Source organism: Homo sapiens, chromosome 10, assembly GCF_000001405.40.
Source record: "Homo sapiens chromosome 10, GRCh38.p14 Primary Assembly".
Lineage (NCBI taxonomy): Eukaryota > Metazoa > Chordata > Mammalia > Primates > Hominidae > Homo > Homo sapiens.
The window spans coordinates 13,630,126-13,657,681 of record NC_000010.11 but is presented as its reverse complement, the minus strand read 5'-3'; the positions used below and the strand labels follow the sequence as shown (position 1 = coordinate 13,657,681).

Below are 27,556 nucleotides of genomic sequence, written 5' to 3'. Positions count from 1 at the left end.
CCTGGGGCAGCCCTGCTGAGTGAGACTCTGGCTTGCTGGGCTGGGGCCTGCGCCCGCGTGCAGACACCCAGTGCCCTCCTCAGGACCCCCTCCTCCCCGGAGCACCCCTCCTTGGGCCCACTCCCCACCCCCAGACCAACCCGGGTCGTCTCCCGGCAGGTCGGTGGACATCAGCCCCACCCGACTGCACAGCCTCGCACTGCACTTTAGGCACCGGAGCTCCAGCCTGGAGTCCCAGGGCAAGCTCCTGGGCTCGGAAAACGACACCGGGAGCCCCGACTTCTACACCCCGCGGACTCGTAGCAGCAACGGCTCAGACCCCATGGACGACTGCTCGTCGTGCACCAGCCACTCGAGCTCGGAGCACTACTACCCGGCGCAGATGAACGCCAACTACTCCACGCTGGCCGAGGACTCGCCGTCCAAGGCGCGCCAGAGGCAGAGGCAGCGGCAGCGGGCGGCGGGCGCACTGGGCTCAGCCAGCTCGGGCAGCATGCCCAACCTGGCGGCGCGCGGGGGTGCGGGGGGCGCGGGGGGCGCGGGGGGCGGTGTGTACCTGCACAGCCAGAGCCAGCCCAGCTCGCAGTACCGCATCAAGGAGTACCCGCTGTACATCGAGGGCGGCGCCACGCCCGTGGTGGTGCGCAGCCTGGAGAGCGACCAGGAGGGCCACTACAGCGTCAAGGCTCAGTTCAAGACGTCCAACTCCTACACGGCGGGCGGCCTGTTCAAGGAGAGCTGGCGCGGCGGCGGCGGCGACGAGGGCGACACGGGCCGCCTGACGCCGTCGCGATCGCAGATCCTGCGGACTCCGTCGCTGGGCCGCGAGGGCGCCCACGACAAGGGCGCGGGCCGTGCCGCCGTCTCAGACGAGCTGCGCCAGTGGTACCAGCGTTCCACCGCCTCGCACAAGGAGCACAGCCGCCTGTCGCACACCAGCTCCACCTCCTCGGACAGCGGCTCGCAGTACAGCACCTCCTCCCAGAGCACCTTCGTGGCGCACAGCAGGGTCACCAGGATGCCCCAGATGTGCAAGGCCACGTCAGGTGAGAGGGGGCGGCCAGGTGCACGCGGGAAGACCTGAGGGCGAACTGCTTGCCGGTGTCAAGGGCTACCGCGGGGAAGGTACCCTTAGGACTGGGTGCAGTGAGGAACGGGAATCATTAATTAATTCTGGGAACGCTGCTGTTAGATGCGGGAGACTTGAGGTCTTCCAGGCCTTTGTTGACCCCGCCCCGTTCTAACCCTAATCTTGCACCATAACCGTGCACCTGACCCTCCAGAGTGCACTGGGCCAGCTCTCCCATTTCTCCTTGTAAAGACAGAAATCTAAGAAAGTTAGTTAGGTAAAGTAAAAGTAATGTCTCTGGGTTTATCCAACCAAAGGTGTCTTTTACCCTAGTGAGGAGAGTATCCCAGTGAAAGCCCACAGCTGTAGCTTGCAAAGGAAGCTGGGTTGGGGATGGGCTTGGGTCAAGCCTAGAGATTTGGCCAGTGTCTCCCCAGATGGGGGCAGACTGGCTAATAAACAGTGCCAGAGCTGTGCGTTTGACAGAATTCCTGGCTGCTCCTGGCTTTCCCATTTCGATGATGATGTTATGCCATAGCCACAAACTATTATTTAAGTGTCTTAAATATCCTTGACGTTATATCTGAAAATTTCTATAAAGTTTACCTTATATTCTCATACTCAAGAGCATTGGGCGGTATTGAATCAAGTAAAAAACAAAAAAAAAAGGAAGAAACCACTCATTCCCTTAAGTTACATTTAATAACAGTGACAATGACCAACATTGAGCAGTTGCCTCGTGCTCCGGTCTCAGCACTGGCTTATTAACATACTCTTACCACTCAGAGAGGGACACTGAGGAGAAGAGAAATGGTAAACATCATAAGAATAAAATGAGAGGTAAGAATAAAATGAGAGTCAGAAGCAAATGGGAGGAACTCTGAGTCAGGAATTTGGTAAAGATCGGGGGAAACAGAGTGACCTGAGATAATGGGGGGTTCATCTTTGGGGAACTGTAGGAGATTCTTGGTGCCTGGAGACAGCAGGGCAAAGAGGAAGGAAGAACCTGGATGCCCTAGCGAGCCAGGCTCTGGCATTCTATCCCCACATCCCCGTGGACGTTTATTAGGGTCCACTGGCCAAATGACAAGCTCCAAAGATCAGGTAATGGTGGGTGTTCCGTGGACTTCGGGGTCCCAGAACCTTCTTTATGTTCCTTCTTCATCTGTAAAATAGCCCAGTGAAATTTGCCATTGACTCCCCAGGAAGATCTTGAGTATGATCATTCTGTGACCCTATTAGATAAAGAACCAACGTTTTGTAAATATCTCCAACAAACAGGAGGGTTTATGTTCTATCAAAACTGCAGCACTGGTCTAGTAGATTTGCTTTATGTAAAGAGATGAGGTAGATCTTTTGGAACATATTTTAGACTAAAATTGTTAAGCTGTATCTGAGGTTTACTGATGGAAAGGATTCCTTTACCAAAAAAGCAAAGGATGCATTTACGTAGGATTGACTTCCTACTAAATCTTTCCAGCTGGACTTCCATGCTGCCTACATCAGTAAATGCGTAGTGGTCAGGTTTGGATGAGCTATTAAAAGCCCTGCTCCCTTCAAAGCGCCCTACAGTAGCAATGATAAGCCTGAAACAGCAGAGAGAGCAGGCTCTGAGAACCTTTCTGGATGCCCTCTCTTCACAATGGGGAGAAACAATTTCATAACAGGGCCACACTGAAAATGCCCTGGGGCCAGAGAAATATGCCCTCCCTGTATGAGCCCTGCTCAGGTCTCGCTCAAAGGACTATGGGGACATCAGATTCTTTGCTGCTGTAGAAACCGTCACCATCCCTATGCCTACCTCCTGGTGGCAAAGCGGGGACCTAGGATCCCAGGTCAGCTTGACTCAGAATGAAGGTGCATGGTAGTGGGTAGAAAATGGAATGGGTGGGATGCAGAGGTTGGGGGGGCATGTAGAGATGGTTGCCCACTGTGACCATGCCATAGGGATGCTGAGACCCTGCTCTGGGGTCCTTCCCAGCATCCCTGGAAATGGTGACCTCTGGCCACTGGGTTGGTGTCAGCCAACAAGTCGCAAGCTCTTTCACCTGTGTCTGATCCCTGTCTGCTCTCTGCCTTTCTTGCACCACCTGCATGTAGCTGCCTTACCTCAAAGCCAGAGAAGCTCGACACCGTCAAGTGAAATTGGAGCCACCCCCCCAAGCAGCCCCCACCACATCCTAACCTGGCAGACTGGGTGAGTTCTCCTTCTATGTTCTTCACTGTGTCAGCTCGAAAGAGTGTCATAGACGTTCAGATCCTGGTGACATAAGGATATGTCAGTAAATGGATGATGAGGGTTCATCACTGGGAGGTGTCTTCCTTTCAAGAGAAGCCCCATGATCTGCTGTCACCTCTGCCTACTCCTTTTCCTGGCTGTGCCTTTATAGAGGTGAATTGTCTGTGTTCTCTTAAAGTAGGCGGTGGTCCTTGGGATGTGGGGAGATGGAAGCACGAAGTGGGACTGTGCTTCTTTGGTAAGATTTCCAGACAGCATTTCATTTCGGTTTGGATTATACTCAGGCTGACTCAAAATGCCAGGCAAGAATGTCAGGGGGAGAAAGAGAGCTGATGAAGACAGCAAATACACTGGGGCAGGTGAAACAGCCAGTGTCTTAGGATGTCTCAGGGTGCAAGAAAAAGGGCTGTGTCCTGGCCAAGCACTTGCTCTTTCTCAACACACAAAAGAGATCAGGTGCCCTGAAGCCTTCAGTGGAAGCTGCACACAACAAAATTAATGAAACCGAAAGGCAGCTCCCTTTGATAGCTTGACATGTTTGCATACAGCATTATCATCTCGGCGCCAGTGAGGCTATTCTGAACTACTGGAGGGTCTGGCAGACACAGGTAACCCGCCTGGCCCTACAGCACCTGCCTCTTCTGTTGCCCCTGAGACATCATCTCTAAGTAGATGTTAGGTTCTGTCAACATCTCATCTGTTGGTTAGAGGAGTTAAGGAGGCCCCTTCCTCGGTTTGTCTGGTTCCTGGTTTGGTGGAGCATCAGGGGGATGTCTGGGAAAACCTGACAACTGGCTGTGAGTTGAATCATGAGAAAAGCACAATTCCAGAATTGGCTGTATTGTCTGCCTTTCAGGCTCTCATACTTGGCCTTTTTTTGAGACGGAGTCTCACTCTGTTGCCCAGACTGCAGTGGTGCGATATCAGCTCACTGCAACCTCCATGGTTCAAGTGATTCTCCTGCCTCAGCCTTCCTAGTAGCCGGGATTACTAGTGTGCATCACTACACCTGGCTAATCTCTAGTAGAGACAGGGTTTCACCACGTTGGCCAGGCTGGTCTCGAACTCCTGACCTCAGGTGATCCACCCACCTCAGCTTCCCAAAGTGCTAGGATTACAGGCACCTGGTCGGCATTTTTGTTCCTGCAGGTTTATCTGTGGTAATTTTTTTACACCAGGTTTTCTGGAGCCTTCATTTTTGGCAAGAAAGGGTCCTAACACTTACTGAGTGCTTGCTGTGTACTCAAAGGCTGCGAGCAGCTTCTAACACACATGAGCTCATACAATCCTCATCATCCCCTTGCGGGGGAAATACCCAGATGTTTTCGTTTCATAGATGAGGCTCAGAGGAACTAAGTGCCTGGCCCAAAGTCTGACAGCTGGAGGGAGCTGGAATTCCAGCTCTGCCCTCTGTGACCCCAAACCCTGTCTTTCCCCACTATACCGGTAGTTAAGTGTGATCCCAAAGCCAGCAGCACGAGTGAGCCTCACCTGGGATCTTGTCAGAAATGCAAATTCTCGGGCTTACCTGTAACACAAAAAAAATCCAAAACTCTGGGGGTGAGCCCAGCAGGCTGCATTCTGATAAGCCCTCCAGGTGATGCTGACCCACACTCAAGTTTTGACAACCACTGAACGATCCCCTGCTGCCTCTGATTCCTTTTAAAATAAGAGAAACTGGAGCCCCAGCTCGGTGTTCCTGTGTCTGCTCCTACTTCTTGGGCTGTCTGTTGGACAGTAGCTGCCCCTTTGTCCTTTAGATCATTAACACTCACCCACCCACACCCCAGCTCTCACCTGTTTGGCCAGGCAGCCTCTGCAAGGTTTGGGGTCTAAGATTAACTCATAAAAGAATGACACATCTTTCATATATGTAATACATACCTCCAGTGACTAAACAAGAAACTTCAGATTGCAAGATCCCTCTCTAGATCTTCCAACTTTTCTGAATCATGCCCAGTCTCACCTGATCCAAATATATGATTGATTGTATTATTTGGCTGTCAACAGGCTCCGAAATGTACAAGCCCTCCTCAGGGTCCTATGCACTTAAGATGGTCTTGAAACCTGCCTATTTCACCACCTACAACTAGTGAGGACTCAAGCCAAATTTGAAAAACAGCAATTTTGGTTCTTGGCATAAACTGTTTGCTATGATGTGATACAAAATGAGGCCATGGGTAAAAGAGGGCCCGTCCCTCCTAACAAACTAGGTATTTTGACTCAATTATGGGGACTGAAAGTACTGCATGACTTGTATGATCTGTTGCTAACTCAGGTGTCTAATCAGCAAGCCTTTCGGATATATTAATAAGCTACTAATCGTGTCTGTGTCTGTGTCAGTGTCTCTCTGTAACATGACCTCTCTTCTCTTCCTCCTCCTGCTTTCCTTTGTTCAGAGAAGCAACAGAAAACTCACCCATTCTGGATGGGTCTGAGTCTCCACCTCACCAAAGTACTGATGAATAGAGGTACCGTAAGGGGAGTTTTGTTCCTACTGCCCATGAGTCTGTGGTCCCACATGTGTTGCTTTTGTCCATGTCATCATTTCCACAAGGATACATCTGAATGCTGTATTTATGCCTTATTTCTAGATACATGGGGAACTGGAACTATGTTTTTAGCTGAAGGTTCTTACATCAAAATTATGATATTCCTAACACTGCTTCCCAGAAAAGACCCCCAGAGTATGTTTTGTTTTGAGACAGAGTCTTGTTCTGTTGCCCAGGCTGGAGTGCAGTGGCATGATCTCGGCTCACTGCAACCTCTGCCTCCCAGGTTCAAGCGATTCTCCTGGCTCCCTAGTAGCTACAGGTGCATGCGTGGCTAATTTTTGTATTTTTAGTAGACACGGGGTTTTGCCATGTTGGCCAGGATAGTCTCAAACTCCTGACTTTAAGCTTTAAGTGATCTGTGCGCCTGGCCCCAAAGTATATTTTAGACTCACCATGTTCTATCTACATTCAAAGATTTGTAGACATTTTACTGTGAGTAATCAGTGTCCCTGAAAAGAACAGCATCACTGCAATGTAAGTTTCAAAGCACCAAGGGCCGACTCAGTGGCTCCAGAAGCACCCCCAGCATTCTTGAGTAACAGCTGTGCTGAGTACCAAAAGCTATGAGCACTGCTTTTCCAAATGTCCATAAGCCAACATTTTTATCACTACCACCATCACCTGGGAGCTCGTTAGAAAGCTAGTCTCCCGGGCACCACCCTGGCCTACTGAACCTAATGTGCATTTAACAAGATTCACGTCGAAATCTGCAAAGCACAGGGGCAGATAACAGTACCACCTGGTCTGGTTCCTAGCCCCAGGACCCTTACAGTCTAACTGGGACACAAGGGCTTGAAATCAAATTGCCTATCAGAAGATATACAAGGAGCATGAGAAACTGCTACACTTATGTATTAAGTGCTCTAAGACTTAGAAACAAAATGCAATGCTGAGAGGATTCAGAAATGAGGGGGTCACTTTCGAGTTCACGGAGATGTTATGTGAGCCTGGCTCAGAAGCCTGCCGTGGGAGGAGGGGGCTTAGACAGGTGGAGACAGAGACCATCCCAAGTGCAAAAACATGGATGCACAGATAAGGGTGAGGGGTGGTTAACAGTAGAGAGTCTTGTTTCCTGTAGAGAAAAAACTGGACTTTTGAAAAGTAAGTTAGGACAATATTGCAAAGTTGACAGATGGGCAATTAGGACAGGGACTTAGGCTTTGGAAGGAAGGTAGACCCCCTCCCCCAGCCCCAGTGCCAGGGTGATGTCATGAGAGCAGTATTTTTGAAGTAGGAAGAATGGCCTTTTTCTCCCCCGGTATGGGAGGGCGATCATCTGCTAAAGGTGATGGAGATAGGGCTGACAGCCAGAAGTAGAATTAACCAGGTTTGAAAGAGCTGCGGTGGGAATGTAGGCACTGCTTGAAATACCTACATACATACACGAATACATACACGAGTTCATGCTCATGCATACATGTGCACATGCAGGGACACACATACATTATACTGAGCAACAGCACCTTCCCAGACCAGGTAAGACAGGATGCCTCTAGAGGGCCTCATCCCCTATCCTCTGGCCTTGTGACCAACTGTGGGACTGTTCAACAACCCCAGTATGTGCCACCAGTTGGTTCTGTAAGTTAGTTATACGTTTAAAAAAATAATTCAGTTTGAAATTCCTCCCTCCCAGCAGCCCCACCTCCCTATGCCAAGCAGTTATAAACCACAAAACCCTGTGAGATGTGGGTGAATTTGCCATCTGTCTGGTATCAGACGGCCCTGGCTTAGCCAGTACCCTTTGCAGGCCACACATCTCTGAGCATAGCCCTGGGAAAGGGCATTCTTGCAGTGGAAAGCCCCCACAGATTCTGAAGTCACCACTTGCTGTGACCCAGACTGCCCAGGGCTAAGCTGCTCTTCTGGGTCACAGTTGAGAGAGCACACCTAGATCTTCATCCTGCCCCAGCTCATGTTCCAGTGAATGACTGACTTAGGTTTTTAGGTTTTTACTAGGGCAACTATTTAGTGGCCCCATTTGTATTATTTGTGAAGAATAAATGCTTCCTAAGGGTCTCTTTCGTAGCACATGGCATTCCTTGACTACTACCGGAAAATTGAATTTGTACTGAAAGGCAAAGGCTTAGCTGAGCAGCCAGAACAAGGGTCTCTTCCCCAGACTTGAGAATAAAAGACCAATACATGAAGCAACATTTATAGCTTTAAAAATACCTTACGTACTTCAATAACTATGTGGAAGCACTAAGAAAGATTCTGTATAAAACATCGCAAGTTTGGAAAAAATACATCTTTACATCTTTTCCTCCAGCTTCATTTTCTCAGAGGCAGGAGCAGGCCAGTGGTTTCCATACTGCGGCTCCTCTAGGAGCCACCTGAGAACCAAACCACCAATCCAGCATCTCCCACCCCATCATCCAGATCCTCCCGATGCCCTCTCATATGTGGGTTCTGTGACCCAGAAGCCTCCATAATGAACCACAGGAGAACACCATGGGCCAGCCAACAGTTAGGCTCTTCACATACCAAATAAACCACCACAGGAACCCTTAACCTCATCTACTGCCTGATCCAAACATCACTGCTTTGAACTCAATGGTCTTTCTTGAGCCTTTATGATCAATACATAGTGCACTTTTAGTCCCTCTGAAGCAGATTATGTTGTCACAATTATGACTCAACTTTAATAGTTTCAACCAGAAACTGTTTAGGATCCAACATACAAGAGAGTCAACTACATTTCATAATATTAGCCCATTTAAGAGTATTTTTCAAAGTGTGTTCTGTGGATGTTAATAGGTGATACTGTTCCAGAAGTTCTGTGGCAAACTAATCCAGGACTTCTCAGAACCTTTAATATATGTTTCATATACATTTACATTTCAGGCCTCTGAAAGGCAGAATCCTCAAATTTATTTATCCATGGAAGCTTTTTTTCCCCTCAGAGCAACTCACAGGACTACTTTGGGAAACACTGGCTAAGTGTTCCTAAGATCTCATGAAACCCCTTAGGGAAGTTTTATCCCAAACAGACCCAGATCATGTTTGTGTTAGAAACAAAAATTTCATCAACAGTTTAAGAAACTACTTACATGTGCCAGTATTCGTTAGTTACATATGAAAAACTCAGTTCAACAAGCGTAAGCAAACAAAAGCGTGTACCAGCCGATGTCACTGGAGCCCGGGCTGGCTGGGTCTCCTTCCATCTCTAGCTCTGCTTCCTCCTCCTGTTAACCTAGTTCTCAGGAGGAAATGACATCCTTGTGGTTTCAAAGCTGCTCAGGCACGTGGCCACCTTTGAACCAGGGATTTTGATCGGGGGACTCTCATTGGCCCGGCCCCGTTGGGTTCCTTGTCCCCTGGCCCCCACGGGAGTGAGGATGGCGCCATGGTGGAGAGCACCACCAGGACCACGTGGAGTTAGGGAGAGACTGTCCCCCTAAGAAAAACATAGGACCCCTGCAAGGCCCAACCACCTCTCCCATTAGAAGTTTTTCAGTCAGGCACAATGTCAAAAGTCAGCTTAGGGTGGAGACAAAGTTTGCAGGACAGGTGTCCCAGAATCATCCACATACCACCTACATATAGTAATACCCATGGCCAGTGTCATAATCAAGGGCCTTTTCTTACTTTGCTTCTGAAGCTGGTTTATTTCTGGTGCTCCAAACACAGGACTCTCATTAAAATCCACCAGTATATGCACAGATGCCTTGTGATTTTCCAGCTTTCATGGATTTTAAGGCCAGATGAGAAACATTTACAACATCCAGTTGTTCCTAGAGAGGTTAGCAAATGAAATAGAAAGCTGGGGATGACTGATGATTCTCAATCGTGAAGCTGTGTTTGGTACCGAAATGCTCCTAAAACTCACCCGCTCTGAACTACTTTGGGTTAGGGTCCCTTCCTGTCACCCATCCCTCACCACTCCCCATGGGGAGATCAGTTGCAGGAGAGGAATTCAAAGGGCTCATTCAGGATCATTGAAGAGAGGCTGTTTTTCCGAATCATGATCCCTAGTAATGACTATTGGCTTCCACATATCTATGATTGCTTCTTAAGATTTAAGAATTACTTCTACCCAACCTAAATGGTGATACCTCCCTAAAATACTTAAAAAAAAAAAAAAAAGCCTTTTATTTTCTTCTATAGACTTTCCTATTTTAAATGAACACACTTTTATAATCACAAAACAATGCATGTTATTTAGAATAAAGCAAAGTCATCATTGATTTTTTTTAAACTTTTAAAACACAATTCAAAATACCACCGCAGTTTCACTATAGGGAAAACTCACATTTTGAATGTTCTTCCAGGACAGAATAAAAATTTCCTAGTGACATCTGTTAGCCCTGGGGTCTCACGGAGGACAACCCGGGCAGCTGTCGTGTGGGAAAAGTCCCCTGAGGAAAGCCCAGAGGTTCTGGCTTTGGCTGCATCTGAGAATCACCTGGTGGGGAGCTTTGACAGTTCTCAGCGCTCAAACACACCCCAAATCAATTGGGCCCAGGCATGAGTATTTCTGGGAGTTCCCAGGTGCTCCCCGGATGCAGCCACGCTGAAGAACCACCGCACTGAGTAAGTTACCTTCCATTTTCCTCCTTCACAAATGCTCTAGGTTTCAGGCGGCCCCTTTGTGTGGATTCTGGGGGCCTTCTGTACACACAGCACTGTTGAGGGTCTCAGGCCTCACTGCTCCGAACAGGAAAGACTCGTGATTAGCACAGGGCCCTGTCAAGGTGAACATATCCTTCTCAGTGCAGGCCTGGCTGAACCCATCCTCCTCCACTAACTAACTGTCTCATCTCCTTTCTTGGGCCTCCCACAGGAGCTACAATGATAGCTGTTTCCTGGATTCCTCCCTCTATCCAGAACTAGCTGATGTCCAGTGGTACGGGCAGGAAAAAGCCAAGCCCGGGACCCTCGTGTGAGCCAGCCCGGCCTAATCTGACCGCCTCAACGCCATTCTGAGATCACCTCACTGCCTCTCATTTGCCTTACCCAGACGCACCGTCACCCTGCACCAGCTTTGGCCCTCAGCACTTTTTTTCTCCTGTCTCCGCATTCCCTCCCCCTTGAAAACCTGACTGAGGAGACATTCTGGAAGGTTCCGGTCCCACTGTGTGTCCCCTGGCGCTCTTGCCCATAGAGAGCCAGACACCAATCCTCAATGGCACCTTGGTGGCTTCCCTCTGCCATGACAGCCCCTAGGCCAGGAACCATCAGGGGGGCCAGCCGGCATCCAATTCCTGCGGATAAGTAGCGTTGGGAGAGAACGGGAAAGGGGACTTGAGTTACAGGGTGACCCAGAAAGACGATTCAGCTGTGTCCAGCCTGCCACCCATACGTAGGCCAACCAAGCACTTCATGAAGAGGAGGCCTCGTGGCATATTCAGTTTACACCTGAAATATTCCTTGATGGGACAGCTTGTGGGGATGGCTATGGGGGAAGGGGAGGTTGAGAAAGGAAGTTCTCGACACCAGAAATGCATCGGAGGACCACAATCAGTTCTATGCTGCCAAAGATTAAAAATAAATAAAAACATAAAAAATTAAGAGGGGCCAAGAGGAAGACATTCTTTCTGCAAGGAAATTTCTTTTAAATTCTGAACTGCTACTACACACAAGTGAAAGTCAACCCTATGTAAACTGGTGTCCTCTCTCTAGCCCTCTCCCTTACTGGCCCACTTCTCTCTCCGTAGAGAGCCTGAAAAACTGCCCCAATGCCACGGTAAAGGCGAGGAAGTCTTGGCTGGCGTTGCTGACTCACAGTCGCCATCCATCTGGACACAAAGAGAGACCTGTGGGAGTCGTAGAGGGTACTGTTAGCCCCGGTCCATGCAGGGGGTTCAGCCGAGCCCAAGACTCAAAGCTGCTTTCCTTTCAGGATTTGTAGTAACGTAAGGTGATAATGGCCAAAAGTGGTTCTCTCTCATTAAACCAACCAGTAAAAGCGTATCCTATTTTTTTGCACAAGGTGTTTCATTTTCGTTTTTATGGGAAACCAAGGGAAAAGCACATTGCGATCCATTCAGTGTTTAACTGTCGTGGCTCATTTTCTGTTCGTTAGCACTTGTGTGACAAAAGAGCTCAGATCCGACTTCTCCTATGTGTCACTTATTCCAAGAACCCAACTATGCCCTTAGGTAGAAAGATTTGACTCGTGTGTCTACTAGCCAACAGGCAGAGCAGGGTTGAAAAAAATATCAGCTCCCAAAGGGCCCATGTGTCTACATCATCAGTTACTGTCATGCACCACATTTGTGTGCAGATACCAAAAGAGGAGGAAAGAAGAAAAAAATTAATGTGTGGGAGCTGCACGTTTACATGTTTTGAGCTATGCTTCAAACACAACTGGAAAGCCATCAATCTTCAAAGGCCTCAAAAATACTTTTATAGTAACAAGTGCACGACTTTAGTTGGGTTATTCAAGATGGCACAAAAAGGTTTCCGCAGAGGTGGTATGCTGTGCTTTTGGCGCAAGTGGTGGGGGGATGGGGTGGGGGTGGAATTTTTTTCTCACTCTAATGACTTCCTATTGGAAAGGCATTGACAGCCAGGGACAGGAGCCAGGGTGGGGGTAGTTTTGTGGGAAAGCAGAACTGAAGTTAGCTTAAGCATAAAAACAAAGAAAAATCTTCGCTTTTCATGTATGTGGAATCCAAGAATAACCATAGGCTCTACCAGACCAGAAGGGTAAGGATGGACACTAAAATGAAACAAATACCAAGGTATTCCTTCTGCTGCAGCCTGGAGACCACCGAGAGTCGAGCTGGGGCACACACACACCTGGCCGGGACCCGGCAGGGACAAGGCGGGCCGTGGCCTCCTCCACCAAGTCTCTCTAGACAATTCAGGGCCTGCTTTCCCCAGCTCCATGCATGGCTGGACTGGTGATTCCAGGGTGCAGAAGGGATTCATATTCCCAGAACGCTTTAAGTGTACACCTGCAGGATAAAGAGATACCGGTTACATTATTAAATGATTCTAGGGATTCACTGGGGGATATTTTTGTTGCTTTTACTTTCATGGTTAGAGCTACAAAGAACAGTGATTTTTTTTTTTTCTCCCTTCCCCATTCAGAAACATTATACATTGGGCCATTTTTCTTTCTCCCAAAGAAGATTCATGGATAGTCAGACTGAACTGTGTGCAACAGGAAAAGTCAAAAGGGAAAAGGTAGCTGATGAGGTTACATGGTTACATGTTCTACATCATGCATAGTAGCTTGAAATCTAGTCTGGAGAAAACTGGATCAAGATTCTAGCCCACTGGAGTTGCAAGGAATGAGAGGCAAAAATTCTAAAGATTTGGGTTATATTTTCAACTTGGGGGACAGAGAGAAATGGAGAGCAGGAATTACAGTTCCAACAAACATCATGATAGTCTGGTAGTCAAGACAGAGATTAAGTAAAACAGGTTTTACTGTTTAGCTGAGTTCAGTTAATACAAAATGTACATAAAACGTTAGTCCTTTGAGACTGACATGATTAATGATCAGTGTGGTGGGAAATGATGTAGTTATTGTACACAAGCACTTGCAAACTCTTTATCCCTATTTCTTTAAAACAAAATAAGGTGAAATACGAAGTCCTTGGTCTGATATAAAGCCCCTATTGGATTCTTCGGATGCGTAAAAGAAATTGCCTGTTTCAGCCAGAAGACTGGTGAAAACACATACATCAGACTATGTTGTGAGCCAGGTTGATTTTTTATTTTATTATATGCAGGTGAGTGTTGAAACTGTTAAAATTCCAATTTGTTTTCATTCAGTATTAGTTTAGTTCTAAATATAGCAAACCCCATCCAGGTGCTATCAGATGACCAGTTACTGCTTAGTTAACTAGGTGTAAAGTTTTACATATACATTAATGTCAATAGTTTATTACAAGTTGTGTAAAATGGACTCTAGTTTAATAATGGGGGAAAAAAGATTAGGTTGCTCCTGAAACTGACTGTAGAGCATGTAAAATGATTTTACTGGATTCTGTTCAACTGTAATCAATGAAAAAGATGTACGTTGTAGACAAAGTTGCAGAATTAAAAAAAGAAATCTGCTTTTAATTTATTCTTTTTGTATTAAGAATTTGTATAGTACCTTTACATTTTGCAAAACAGTGTTGTCAACACTTATTAAAGCATTTTCAAAATGAAAAGATCCCAGCTGCCTCCTGGAGATTTTGTTCCTTTGTCTGTCAGCGATAAATGCTTGCGTGTGCACTGGGAATCTGTAATTCAGGTGCTTGTGTCCTCAGTGGGCTCCTTTATTAAAGTCAATCTATAGATGGCATTTTTATGAGCTTGCTAGATGATACAGAGAAGCTTGGTTTGTTCAGCTGAGGTGAATTCCCTCTTATTCTAGTTTCCTTCTGTTAACTGTGCAAGATAATATTGTCTAAATTATGTATTCCTGCTACTACAAAAAAGGACTTGAGATTAGAGGTCAATCTTTATGAGGATACTATCTCAGCCTTTGCATCACTATTCACTGCAAACGGCTCCCTGTGTGTAATATGTGCCAGCATGTGTACTGTCCCTGCAAGACAGTCCACGGCAGGAGCAATGAAGGAAGCTAGGCTTTGAGGGATCGTCTTTAGTCTCTCCATGTTGTCCCTCATTCCATGTAGGATGCAGAGGGTCACTCACACAGGCTGCTCAGGCTCTCTGTGACTACCGTTAATCCTCTGTGCTCACACTGCAGCTCAAACCCTGCCACTGACTCTCTAAATCACATCACGAGAGCCAAGCGCCTATGGGGACTGCAAGTACAAAGAGTCCCTGACTTACAGATGAAATGGTGACTGACTGACTTGAGTAGTGACTGCTGCAATCGAATCCCTGGCCCCCTAACTTAATAGGCATCTCCTCCTAGCAAAACTGGAAGTCTGGCCTCCAATAGCATCCCTGCATGAAAAACTCCTGGATGGGAAGCCTTACAGAAGCCTTGGCCACTAGAGCTAGTTGATGCTGCCGAAAAGGAAAACAATCCACTGAGAATCACATCTGGAAGTGAGCCCATCAAGAGAGTGTTCTCTACTTCCTACACCCTAAAAACTGCCCGTGGGAGAGCCTGAAGCCTCCTCTCCTTGGGGAAGCAACCAGGCCATCTCAAAATCATCTACACTTGAAAAAAGACAAAGGGCCCTCACGTAAGTCTTCTACATGTAAATATGTCACAGCTCAGGAAATTAGCGTATCATCTTCTCATTAAGCTCTACCACATGAAAGCAACTGGTAGATAGGAAGATCCTCTTCCCATTTCTTTCCCACTGCTTCCTACTTTTCACCTCTTCATCTATCAATCTGTTTATCTGCCCTTTCATTGTGCCAAAAAAGGTGATTCCGAACATTTAATTATTAGAGAACACAAAGTGAACACCCCACTCCTGGTAGAAAGTATTACAAACAGCCAGCTCTTTATTTTCCCAGGATACCATTTCAAAAAGGCTCTATGTAAAACTCTCTAAAAAGAGGAATATGAAGTCACCACTGATGAGGGCCAGCAGGCAGACAATGGGTCTCCAACAAAGTCATTTCACTGCACATTTGGTGCAGAGTTCCAGTTCTTAAAAGCTTACTCTCATGGACGAGACAAACAGGCACACAACCACATTTATGGGGAAAGGAGGACACTAGCATTAAACAGGAGGAAGAGATTAAAATTATTCCCAAGGATAAGAGATCAACAGGGCATCTCTCATTGGTTACCTGAGTTGAGTGGTCAGAGATGGCAGAGACAAAGTAGAAGAGCTGCAGAGGTATAACCTTTATGCCTTGCACAAAGTCATGCTCCCAGCAAAGTCGATACGTACTCCAGCAAAGCTGAAGAACCTGCACTGCATTCAGAAGAATAACACAGTGTGGAGAGTAATTTCAAGAGCCCATAGGATTATAATGGCACCAAGATTGATTTTTTAAATCAGAAACCCATTTCTATCTTCATAAATTTTTATCCCCACGAGCTAATTGTTTTCTCCTTCATTTATCCATTTTCTCTCAAACCCACTCCAATTATGCTTTCACCCCTCCCCACTCTACTAAACCCACTCTTGCCAAGGTCAACGATGACTCCCTGCAATGCCAAATCCAATGGTTAATTCTCTGTTCTCATCTAATATCACTTGCCAGCCACACTTTGGAGTGTGAAGAAGTGGGACACTTCATTGAAACACTTTCTTCACTGGGATGTCAGGATGCCACATTGTCCTGGTTTTCCACCTGGTATCGTAGTCCAGGGCTCTCCTTTTCAATCTCCTTGGTAGTTTTTCTTCCCTGGCTTCTTGGCATTGGTGTCCCCGGGCTCAGTCCTTAGACTCCTTCCCTTTATTATTGACAATTATTCCTTAAAGTTCCCATCTACTCTCATGGCTTTAAATGCCATCTTTATGCTGATGAGACTGATATTTATCCCTATATCCTAGACCTCCTCTCTAAAAGTTGTACATTCCACTGCCTACCCAATATCCCCACGTGGATGTCTAATGTGCTAACATGTCCTGAACTAAACTCTTGACTGTCCCCTCCAAACCTCACCAATGAATGGCCCTCCCCAGCTCAGTTACAGGCAACTCCAGGCCTTCCAGTGTTCAGGCCAAAAATCTGGGAATCATCCAAGCTTTCTTTTTCATCAGCTTTCCTTTCCTCACACCTCACATCTGCACAAACAAAACAGATGCAAATTCCCTGCCCTTATAAGACTTAATTACACTGGAAGTAGAGGGGGCCAATAGAAAGTAAATTAGATAACATAATAGATAAGAAAGCAGGATAGTGGAAGATTTAGCCTATGACAGAAAGAGGAACAGCTTTTTCTCCAAATCAAGTAAGACAAGATGCTGGTAGATTTGGAGGTAGAAAGAGGCCTTAAGATTGCCTCCATATTCAAGCTGTATGAGAAGGGTAGGTTAGGCCACCCTCCAAGTGAGATAAAAAGGAGGCAGCAGGGTAGGATCAGGATAGAGCAGAGGCATCAGGAGAGCTATGGCAGGGAGGATCCAGCTGACATTGGATGCTTAGATTGTGAATTTCCTCCAGGGCAGCTACTATCATGTCAGAGCATGGGAGGAGAGAGGTTGGAATGACTCTGGCTTGGGGTTGTCAGCAGGTGTGGCAGGACAACAAAAACATGTGAGAGTAAAAGGGACTGGAAGGTGACTGAAATGATGGTAATGGGATCCAGACTGACTAAAAAGAAAAGGGAAGCTGAGAAGGTGCTATTAAGTAGGAGAAAACAGACTGATTGGACATAGGTCTTGAGGAGACTGAGGAACAGCAGGGTAGGAATGAAGGAGGGAGCAAAGCAAGGTCTTCATGACCAGGGTGTAGGTAAAACATCAGTTTCCCCTAATCTCGCAGCTATCCCCACGGGGGTGAATCACATCATCTAGGGAGGGATCCCTATGTTGTATTGAGGAAAGCTAGTGAAAAATCCACCTGAGCTTGGGATTGCGTAGAAGAGGACCTGGGTCTCATGGCTCTTTTCCAGGAGCTGAAAACCTGGTTGCCTATTATATCTCGGACCAAGACCATAGCAATTATTCTAAGAGAGATGATTGAACAAACAACTGTCAACAGATAGTGAAGAGGTAGGAGGCAAAAAGGGGACTCTCAGGTATCACAGAGATAACTGCAATAGGAAGCCGCCACGCTTAGGGCTGGGAACCAGAGGCAAGGCTGGGATCATTAAAATGTGGAAGCTTTTCCAGGAGCTGGGAGTGAAACCTCTCAGGCGTGGACACCACTCTCCTGGTAACTGGTACCTCAGAAATGTGGGGACTCCACAGAGCTCGGATTCAAACCTCTGAAGAGGCGCCACCGGCTGACGGTGCGGTGATCTTTGAGTGGAGAGATGAAGCTGGTTCTACAAGTGTGGAAAACCGCACCCTGGAACCCACTATTCCTTCAGGAGTGAACAGCCACTGCTCAGCTTCTGGAAAACCACGGCTGTGCCATCGTTGTTAGAAACAGAAAGCAAATAGAAGGGGGGAGCTCCCTTCTTCCCGCCTCCAGGTTCCAGTCTCTCGTGTCCAATCCTGGTATACCCTAACAAAAAGCTCTCCAGCAAAGGAAAGATGTGGTTTGCAGAGTCTCATGACAAAGCAGAGTATGAAGATGTGTCTGGAGCTGAGACAACAGCCTCACAACCAGCGCCCCTACTGACCAGAAATTGGACCTTTATCCTGAGTCCTGGCTAGAAATTCCTAATCAAAGGATGAACTAACAGGTTCTAAAATCTCAAAGAGACCTCTAAAATCTATGCTATAATATTTAAGACAAACTAATTTTTAGCTTTTTAATTTTTAAAAAACTCTATAAAGGACAAAAACACAAGCACTTTTTTTTTTGGCCCACGTTAGTGTAACGTGAGTTGCCATCTCAGACGGAACTGTAGTAATAACAAGTCAAAGCATATCAAGCTGCTTTTCCCAAAATGATGAAACCAGAGCCATGTATTTTCTGAAGTATCTTTCACATCTATAACAGATACTCAGAAGAGAGACTAATTCTCTCAAAGTCTCTTCTTACTCTGATGGAGATTTGGAGAGAACACAAGAGGAATCAGAGCTAAATGCTTTTGTCCAATAAATTGAGTGATTCAGAATCTTGATGACAGGGCAGAAGAACTCCTTTTGGCATCTGCTCCAGTACCTGGTTGTCCTTGAGGTGCTTTTAACATCAGTTCCATCTGTGGCTTTTCTGTAACTGAAATCACAATGTACCAACATCCACAGAACCACTTCAAGTAAATGCTCTCACATCTATTTTATCTTAGGAGGATGTGGCAAAGTCCGATTTTATTCCAGTCGAAATGAACAAAGACCTCAGCACCATGGCACACTTGCCACAAGTCACTTGATGATTTTGAAGGTCAAGAAGTTTGAGTAATGCATACATTGCTTGGGGACTGAGTTCAGCAGAATATAATGGAAACCCAACTTACCCAATACTGTTCTCATATAACATGAGGCCCACAGGAAGGCAGCTGTGATGGTTAATTTTGTGTCAACTTCACTGGGGAAGACGGTACCCAAATATTTGGTTAAACATCATTCCAAAGGTATCTGTGAGGGTGTTTTTGGATGAGATTAACATTTGAATTGGTAGACCGAGTAAACACATGGCCCTTCTCAGTGCATACGGGCATCATTCAATCCACTGGTGGCCTGAATAGATCAAAAAGATGGGGTAAAGGAGAATTAGCTCTCTCTACGCTCCAGTCCACCTGCAGACTGGAATTACACCATCAGCTCTCCTGGTTCTCAGGCCTTTGGACTTAGACTAGAATTTACACCATTGACTCTCTTGGTTCTCAGGCCTTTGGATTCAGACGGGAGCTACACCACCAACTTTCCTGGGTCTCCAGCTTGCGGGGTACAGATCACTGGACTTAGCCTCCATAACTGTTTCAACCAATTCCTTATAATAAATCTCTCTCCCTCCCCCGCAACAACTTTCTCTTTCTCCCTATCTCCTATCTCTTCTGTTTTTCTGTAGAACCTTAAAAAAGCAGTTCATGTTTTATACAAAATGATTTCATGATGCCATAAAAAAAAAAAAAAAAAAAGAAAAGCCAAGCTTTATCTTCTGCTCTGCCATCTTTAGCACATCTTCATTGTCAAGATTGCAGGATGGCCACCAAGCATCTACGCATCATGATCACAGGCAAAGGACAAAGTATGTATGTCAGCTAAGTCTGTCTCTTTCTCTTAGTAAAGCAACAGGTTTCCAGGCAGTCCCACTCACCCACAGACTTCTATCCGTATCTTCTTCGCAGGACCATGTCATACGACCAACCCTAACTGCAAAAGGTCCTGAGAGGACAAGTTGTTTTAACTGTGCATATTACAGTTCTAAACAAATTAGGGCTCTGTTAGTAGAGAAGGAGAGAGAATGAACATTGCGTAAGTAACTAGTAGTGTCTACACCACACATTTATGGCACATGAACTTGCACATCAAAAGAAGCAAAACAAAAACAGCCATATCTGAAATGAAATAATCCAATACAACAGTTAACAAAAAAGTGCAAACATTCACATAATTTCCTCTTCTCACAAATCTTACACTCTTAAACATGCCACTATGATGACATCATTAAACAAGAGGAAGAATTGTTATTTAAGCTTGACATATGATTTGATTTTTATAAAATCTATTGGGCAAAGATAGTTGGCAAAGGTTATGTCAATATCTGAGTCAGTCATAAGATTATTTCTCCAATGCATAAAAGGTAACCTGGCACAAAGGGTGGCCACCAAGTGGGAGGCTTATTTGCAATACAGATATCTAGCCAGAATACAGAAAGTACTATAAATCAGTCAGAAAAAAGCAGGCAATTCAGTAGGGGAAAAATGGACAAAAGTAAGCATTGAACAGGAGCTTCACAAAAGATAACATCCAAATGGCCATTAAACATATGAAAAAAGGTACTCAACTATATTAGCCATTAGAGAAATGCAAATTAAAGCCACAACGTGATACCATTATGACTACCAGAAGGGCTAAAATGAAAATGACAGAGGATATATCAAGTGTGGCAAGGAGGCAGAGTAACTGGAACTCTCAACTCCTGCTGTGGGAATGTGTTAACTGGTATAAGGTTTTCCTTTGGAAAACTCTTTGACAATAACTCTAATAGCCAAGTTTATACATACCCTATGTCCCAGAAATTTCATACCTTGGTATATATTCTTGTGAATATAAATAGAGAGATGTATATTCACCAAGAAACACATATAAAACATCCATGCAAAAACCAGAAACAACTCACATGTCCATCATCAGTAGAATAAATTGTGAGACACAGCATCAAGACTGAAAAACCACAACTACACACATTGGGGATGAGTAAGTATCAGAACCCCTAAGCTGAGCCAAAGAAGTCAAGCACATACTGTTTGATTCCATTTATAAACAGGCAAATTGTTAAACACAGGCAAACGGGGTTCTTTTTTGGAATGACGAAAGTGTTCTAAGACTGTGGTGATGGTTGTGTAACTGTGAATATGCTGACAACCTTTGTACACTTTAAATGGGTACAACTGATGGTATGTGAATTACACGCCGATATTTTTTAAAAATTATGATGTTAGAAATTAGGACCATGGCTATGACTAGAAGAGGACATGAAGAGATTTCTGGGGAGTTAATAACAATTACCTTTTCTGATTGGGGCGCTAGTTACTTTGTTTACTGTGTGAAATGTTTACTTTGTGAAAAACCTATCATGATGTGATACTCTAGTAATTTTTCTGTATGTATGTTATACTGCCAATAAGAAAATTTACATTAAAAGAAATGTAATTTAGCACTGAGTCTTAGGAAATAATTTTCAAAGGGCCAAGCCACTGTCCTCTCAACAGACACTTGACGCGTAACACTAGACTCCTTGCAACTATTCTTGCCCCAAACCTATCTTATACTTAATTAATTTATTACTTATTTTTGAGACACGGTCTCACTCTGTCACCCAGGCTGGAACGCAGCAGTGTGATCACTGCTCACTACAGCCTCGACCTCCTGGGCTCACACAATCCTTCCACCTCAACCCAAGTAGCTGGGACTACACGTGCGCGCCACCACACCTGGCTAATTTTTGTATTTTTTGTAGAGATGAGGTCTCACCATGTTGCCCAGGCTGGCCTCAAACTCCTGAGCTCAAGTGATCTGCCCGCCTTGGCTTCGCAGAGTGCTGGCATTACAGGCGTGAGCCACCACACCCAGCCAAACCTATCTCGTACTTTAACTGACCTCCCATTTATTTTGTAATACCTTGTTTAATCTTGCTTTATCCAACAATGTGCAACCAGCCCAAGGTGATCAGCTATACATACTGCCAATTTTCTAACAGATGGCTTACAAGTTTCTGTTCTCGGTTCTTCTATGGACGTCTCCTCATTTTAAACTTAAGAATTACATATTACGGCAGAAGTATTTAGCATTTTGAAGTACTGTAGGTTCTATAATCTGCTAAATTTCACACTAACAATGAGAGCCAAGTGTTATCTCCATATTAAAAAAAATCAAAAAAGAATTATAGTCCTTTTGTCCTAGATTCATCTAACAGGTCATTTCCTTCTTTAATTCTACTGATAATTGCTTTAATCGGTGGTTTTCCAAACAACTCCATTAAAAAGTGGGCAAAGGACACGAACAGACACTTCACAAAAGAAGACATACATGCAGCCAACAAACACAAGAAGAAAAGCTCAACATCACTGATCATTAGAGAAATGCAAATCAAAACCTCAATAAGCTACCATCCCACACCAGTCAGAATGGCTATTATCAAAAAATTAAAAAATAACAGATGCTGGTGAGGTTGTAGAGAAAAAAGGAACGCTTTTATACTATTGGTGGGAGTGTAAATTAGTTCAACCATTGTTGAAGACAGTGTGGCAATTTTTCAAAGACCTAGAGACAGTAATACCATTCAATCCAACAATCCCATTCCTGGGTATATAACCAAAGGAATATAAATCATTCTATTATAAAGACACACTCACATGTATGTTCACTGCGACACAATTCACAATAGCAAAGACATGGAATCAACCCAAATGCCCACCAATGATAGCCTGGATAAAGAAAATGTGGTACATATACACTATGGAATACCACACAGCCATACAAAGGAATGAGATCATGTCCTCTGCAGGGACATGGATGGAGCTGGAGGCCATTATCCTTATCAAACTTACACAGAAACAGCAAAGCAAATACCACGTTCTCACTTGTAAGTAGGAGCTGAACAATGAGAACACATGGACACACAGGGGTAACAACACACACTGGGGCCTGTTGGAGGATGGCGGGTGGGAGGAGGGAGAGGATCAGGAAGAATAGCTAGTGGATGCCGGGCTTAATATCCGGGTGATAGGATGATGTGTGCAGCAAACCACCATGACACATGTTCACCTATGCAACAAACCTGCACATCCTGCACATATACCCCTGAAATTAACATAAAAGTTTGAAATTCAAAAAAAAAATCAGTGGTTTTCAAACTGCTGACCACCATACATTAATGAGTTGTCAACCAATTTTGAGGATAACCACCAGCATATTTTTAAAAAGAAACACAACAGATTAGAAAACATAAGAATGTGCCTTGCACATGGTACGGCCAGTGACTTTGTTTCAGGTAGACGTGCCTGTGTACATGTAATACTGGGTCTCCATACACTTGTTTTGAGTTGTGGTCCAAAAGTTTCAAATTCTACAGCTTTTACACTTCTACTTCCCAGGATGGCCAAACTTAGAAAGGCAGGCGCAGACTGCACAGACTGCAACGCTCATGGTTCCTAACATCTCCTAAGTCTGAAAGGAAAAGCAGTTGACCGCAAAGGCAATTTAGTTTTGGCAAGTTGTAAAACTGTGAGTTAAGGAAGGCCAGGACAGCGGATTGCAGGAGTGACTCTTGACTGTCCCGGCCTGAAGCTCAGTGAAAGAGTCTGAGATCACCAAAAGGCAGCTCGAAACTTCTCAGCTGCTCTCATTGGTAAAATTATGTGTTAAGCTTGAACACTGTGAGAAAAAGTTGAGGAAGTTGGTGCTTACAGAGAGGGAAGAAGAGACTCAACAGAAGGAAGTGGCCTAGTGAGAGTGACCAGCAGAGGCAACACAAGGATTCATTTAAGCAAGTTGTATAAAGTTTACAATGGGGGAAAAATAAATAATCAATGCTTTCATGATAAATTGTTCTGATCAACGTAAAAATACATTCTTTTTTTAAATGAGCATGTTTTTCAATATTCTGAATGGGGTCAGCTCACACCATAGCTGCGCGGCTGGCCACACTGCCCTCCCTAGCTATTCCACACCACCAGAAATTATTTTTAAATTTCAAATGATTTTAAAGTTACTGTTAACCATTAAAGGACTAGCGTGTGGTTATAGTTCAGCCAATGGAACTGCAGAGTCTGTGATGAAAACCAGTTGCCATAACAGTGTTCCCATAGCAACCCTCTGGGGACTGGCGCTGGCTCTTGCGCTCTGGACAGCTGGAAGCTCTTGCGTCAATATACCGTGAGAAAGTACTTTTCAGCTCAAGACTCCCAATATGACACCATACCATAGATTGCTATGGGATAAACTTATTCTTTAGGGGCTTCATGGGAGTATACTGGGGGAAGGAGGAGGCACAATCCATTAAGTTGTGTTTACCAGACATGCAGACAAAGGAAAGAGGCAGAGCTCAGCTTAATGCTCCCTTTCATTGAAACTGCCCCACTTCGTTCTACCATCCTTCTGTGTGAAGCATTAACCTCATGGGGTGGGGCAGGGTAGGCGGGGGTACAAAGGTGAGCACATGTGGCTGAAAAGCAGCCAATGATATGAATCCCCAAATTCAAATCTATCAAAGATTTGGAAACACTGGTGTTTTCCAACCTGCTTTCTTTCCGGATACATTATTACTTTCTTTCCAACAAAAAGGTGGTTGCATTTCCAAGTTATTTACTGAGATCAAACCCTAGAGTGCTCTGAAGTGCTGGAGTAGGTCAGGATATCACCAGAAGGCAGAGCTTAGCATTAAAAGTCATACTGCTATCAAGCCTGTTTCCTAGTCCTCTGAGTTCTCACTGAGCGCTCTGGGCCCACAGCAGATCACTAAGTTCCATTCTTAGCGACAGCTGCCTGCCTAGCTCTGGTCTCTCAGGACCGCTCCCTTCCTCCTACGAGATTCGGACTGTCCTTTGTCTCTTTCCACATGTCAATTATCTTTGGCCTTAGCTTTACTTTCCTAATTGTCCCCCAAAGACTGAAATCACAGCCACAACCTCCAGATTGTTGCAGGCTCTATGCTGCAACACTGAAAAATACTGCTCTGTCTTTGCAGTTGGCAATGACACTCCTAGGAAATGCACTATTTACTTCTGAAGGGAACTCAGTGTTTTATGAAATTTGAATTCAGAGACACAACTCTTAATGGATAGGAGTCTGGGGAGGAAGAATGGGAGGAATTTATCTAAGGACTGTGATTGATTTTAAAAGGTATGTCTTCACTGTTTTATAAACAACTACAAACAGAAATACTTACCTGCTGAGCCAAATTTTCACGATTTGGAAATTGGGGAAGGGCATTTTTCTATATATCCTCATGTTATTTGCAGTCATTTGAAGATCTTTAACTTCAGGGAAATGGAAAACTTCTCTGAGGGGATCTACATCTTTGAATGTGCTTCCCTCGAATGGTCACAGCCCTGTGGAACAGGTTCCTTTTTTCTCTAAACCATCTACCACACTGACCAATTTTAGGAGGTACTGGTGTCACATGACAGTTTCTTTATATGGAACATTAACTAACTGCAAAACAGAAGACAACAAGAAATTAATGAACTACTCTACTGTGTGACCTGATGGTGAATACAGAAAAAGTAACTCGGAGAGTACTCATTCAACAATATTTATAAATAGGTCCTATATAAAAAATCTAGATTGCTGTCATATCTTACGAAAGTCTGTCTCTCACTTGCGCTGGTAAGTTACACTAAGCTCTAACTGATTTTTTTTTGCGGGGGGGAGGGGACAGAGTCTCACTCTGTTGCCCAGGCTGGAGTGCAGTGGCACGATCTCGGCTCACTGCAAGCTCTGCCTCCTGGGTTCACGCCATTCTCCTGCCTCAGCCTCCCGAGTAGCTGGGACTACAGGCACCCGCCACCATGCCCGGCTAATTTTTTGTATTTTTAGTAGAGACAGGGTTTCACAGTGTTAGCCAGAATGGTCTCTACCTCCTGACCTCGTGATCTGCCCACCTCGGCCTCCCAAAGTGCTGGGATTACAGGCGTGAGCCACCGCGCCTGGCCCCCTCTAACTGATTTAATAACAAGAAAAGGTTTCCAAATGAGGGAGTGGGAGGCAAGGAACCCCAATTCAATTCCAGACAGCGGACCTCAGCCACCACCATGCATATAACCATCAGAAACGATCCTGTCTAGGCACAGCAGAAGAGCACAAGTGGCCAAAACTGGCTTTTGAACCTCCCCAAGGTTTGAACCTCCCAAGAGGAACCAGAATAGACCGCTGTGAATCTACATCCCCCTACTTGGTGACATCTAGCTTCCACCACATCCCCGGCCCTTCTCAATGCAGAAGTGGCTGAAAGCAGGAACAGCCGCAGGGTTCAGATACAGTAAATGCTTAATCAACGTTTCCATGATTACTGCTGTTGCTGCTAACACCATCATTATTACTGTTATTGTTTTGTGAGGACACACTGCCCCTAAACACAGGGCTCCTGAAAGGGACTCTGGCTTCCCTCTAATGACAACAGTGACACAACAACTAATATTTACGAGCTCTTATTATTTGCCAGTGTGCTCAGCATTCTGCTTGAACACAAAAGTGATGCTACGAAGCATGGACTATTATTACCAACTACCATTTAAGACAACGAAGCTGACGCTTAGAAAGATCCAGTTGCTTGCTAAAGTCATACAGCGAGCAGGTGCAGAGCTGAGATGTGAAGCTGGAAGTTCTGCCTTTGGAGCCCCCGCTCTTACCGCTATCCAGCGCCACCACTCCACCTGCTCCGGGAGCATCCACTCACACATGCTGCCATGTGAACAGAGGCCTCTCGGGTTCTAAAGCATAGTAACAGGTCACAGTGATATCTGAGTATGACATTGTGCAACATTAGAACGAGCCCTCACTGTGGAAAACCAAGGCCAGGACAGACTCTCGGGTGGGGACATCAGTACCAGCACCTTCCTCCTCTGTTGGCGGGTGTGGCTGGGAACACAGTCTGCCCAGGTCTACCAGCATCATCACAATTTCCCCACTCTCCCTGGCATCACAAACCACTGTCCCACCTTAACCTTGATGCACTGGGGTTATTCTGTTTTGAACTTAGTTTGCTATGATGTGCCATCTCTGTTTCTTCAAACTTCTATTTCCTATTAATTGTATCTGTCCTGAGAGATGACAAATACTAAAATTTACACTTCTTGGAAGATAAAAGCAAGCTTTGAAATGCAAGAAAAATAACATTTGAGTTATACCAGTAATAATATTTACATTCAAATTCTATTGCAAGACAGCAAAAGTTCAGCAACATTTAAGGACTATAAAGTTTCATTCAATGGTCCCATGTTTTTGAAATATATAAAAATATTTTATATAAATATTACATAAAAGACAATAGGCAAATTATAATATTTTACTGAAATAATTAAGTCCATCCTCAAATGTTTCTTTTTAATCATCTAACCACAACTTTCGGGTCAACTGAAAAAAAGGTCATTTTAAACCCCCTTCTGTTGTCTATGGATTTAAATTGTGAGGAAAAATCTTTAAAACTTAATTTTGGACTAATTAAAATGAAAGCAAGAAAGAAAAATCAGCTTGCAGTCAGATATGAAATGAAGGCCAACAAAGTTCTTAAAACCAATCAAGAGTTACATCAGGTAGAACTCAGAGACTGGAAACTCCAGTTTTCTTCTTTCCTCATTCCTGTTGGTAATTCCAGAAGTCCACAGCCTGCTTCCCTAAGTTTCTTATTGTTATTAACACACCATACACAGATCTCACAGTGCATTGTACTCCACACATTTGGATGGGTCTGTAGGAAAGTGTTTCTGGCAAATGGTCATTAACCTCTTCAATCCCTAAGAAAATAAGGAAAACAAAGGTTGGTTATGACATGGTTAAATTATTCTTAACTGCCTTCCTCTGAACTCGTTATCAGTTTGTCAATGTCCCCATAAAATGCAGCAGACCCAAGCAAATTCACTCAGATGTA

General features: G+C 45.0%; 2 protein-coding genes across 66 annotated transcripts in view; one reads left to right on the top strand and one right to left on the bottom strand.

Moving 5' to 3' along the window:
• FRMD4A (FERM domain containing 4A) overlaps positions 1–13,976 on the top strand; it is a 687,219-nt gene extending 673,243 nt beyond the window's left edge. For all 4 annotated transcript variants that reach the window (NM_018027.5, NM_001318336.2, NM_001318337.2 and 1 more), the window contains 4 exons: positions 160–1,046; positions 3,170–3,266; positions 5,708–5,779; positions 10,647–13,976. In NM_018027.5, coding sequence (NP_060497.3) covers positions 160–1,046; positions 3,170–3,266; positions 5,708–5,777 — 1,054 coding nt within the window. In that variant the 3' untranslated portion in view covers positions 5,778–5,779; positions 10,647–13,976. The remainder of the gene's footprint in view (positions 1–159; positions 1,047–3,169; positions 3,267–5,707; positions 5,780–10,646) is intronic.
• Positions 1,753–27,556, bottom strand: part of PRPF18 (pre-mRNA processing factor 18) — a 68,965-nt gene continuing 43,161 nt past the window's right edge. For 14 of the 62 annotated variants that reach the window (NM_001395885.1, NM_001395876.1, NM_001395883.1 and 11 more), the window contains one exon: positions 26,823–27,422. In NM_001395885.1, the coding sequence (NP_001382814.1) occupies positions 27,342–27,422 (81 nt within the window). In that variant the 3' untranslated portion in view covers positions 26,823–27,341. Of the gene's footprint in view, positions 2,305–3,254; positions 27,423–27,556 lie in introns of those variants that run through there. The other 48 variants (XM_047425923.1, XM_047425966.1, XM_047425965.1 and 45 more) reach the window with 45 other exon arrangements.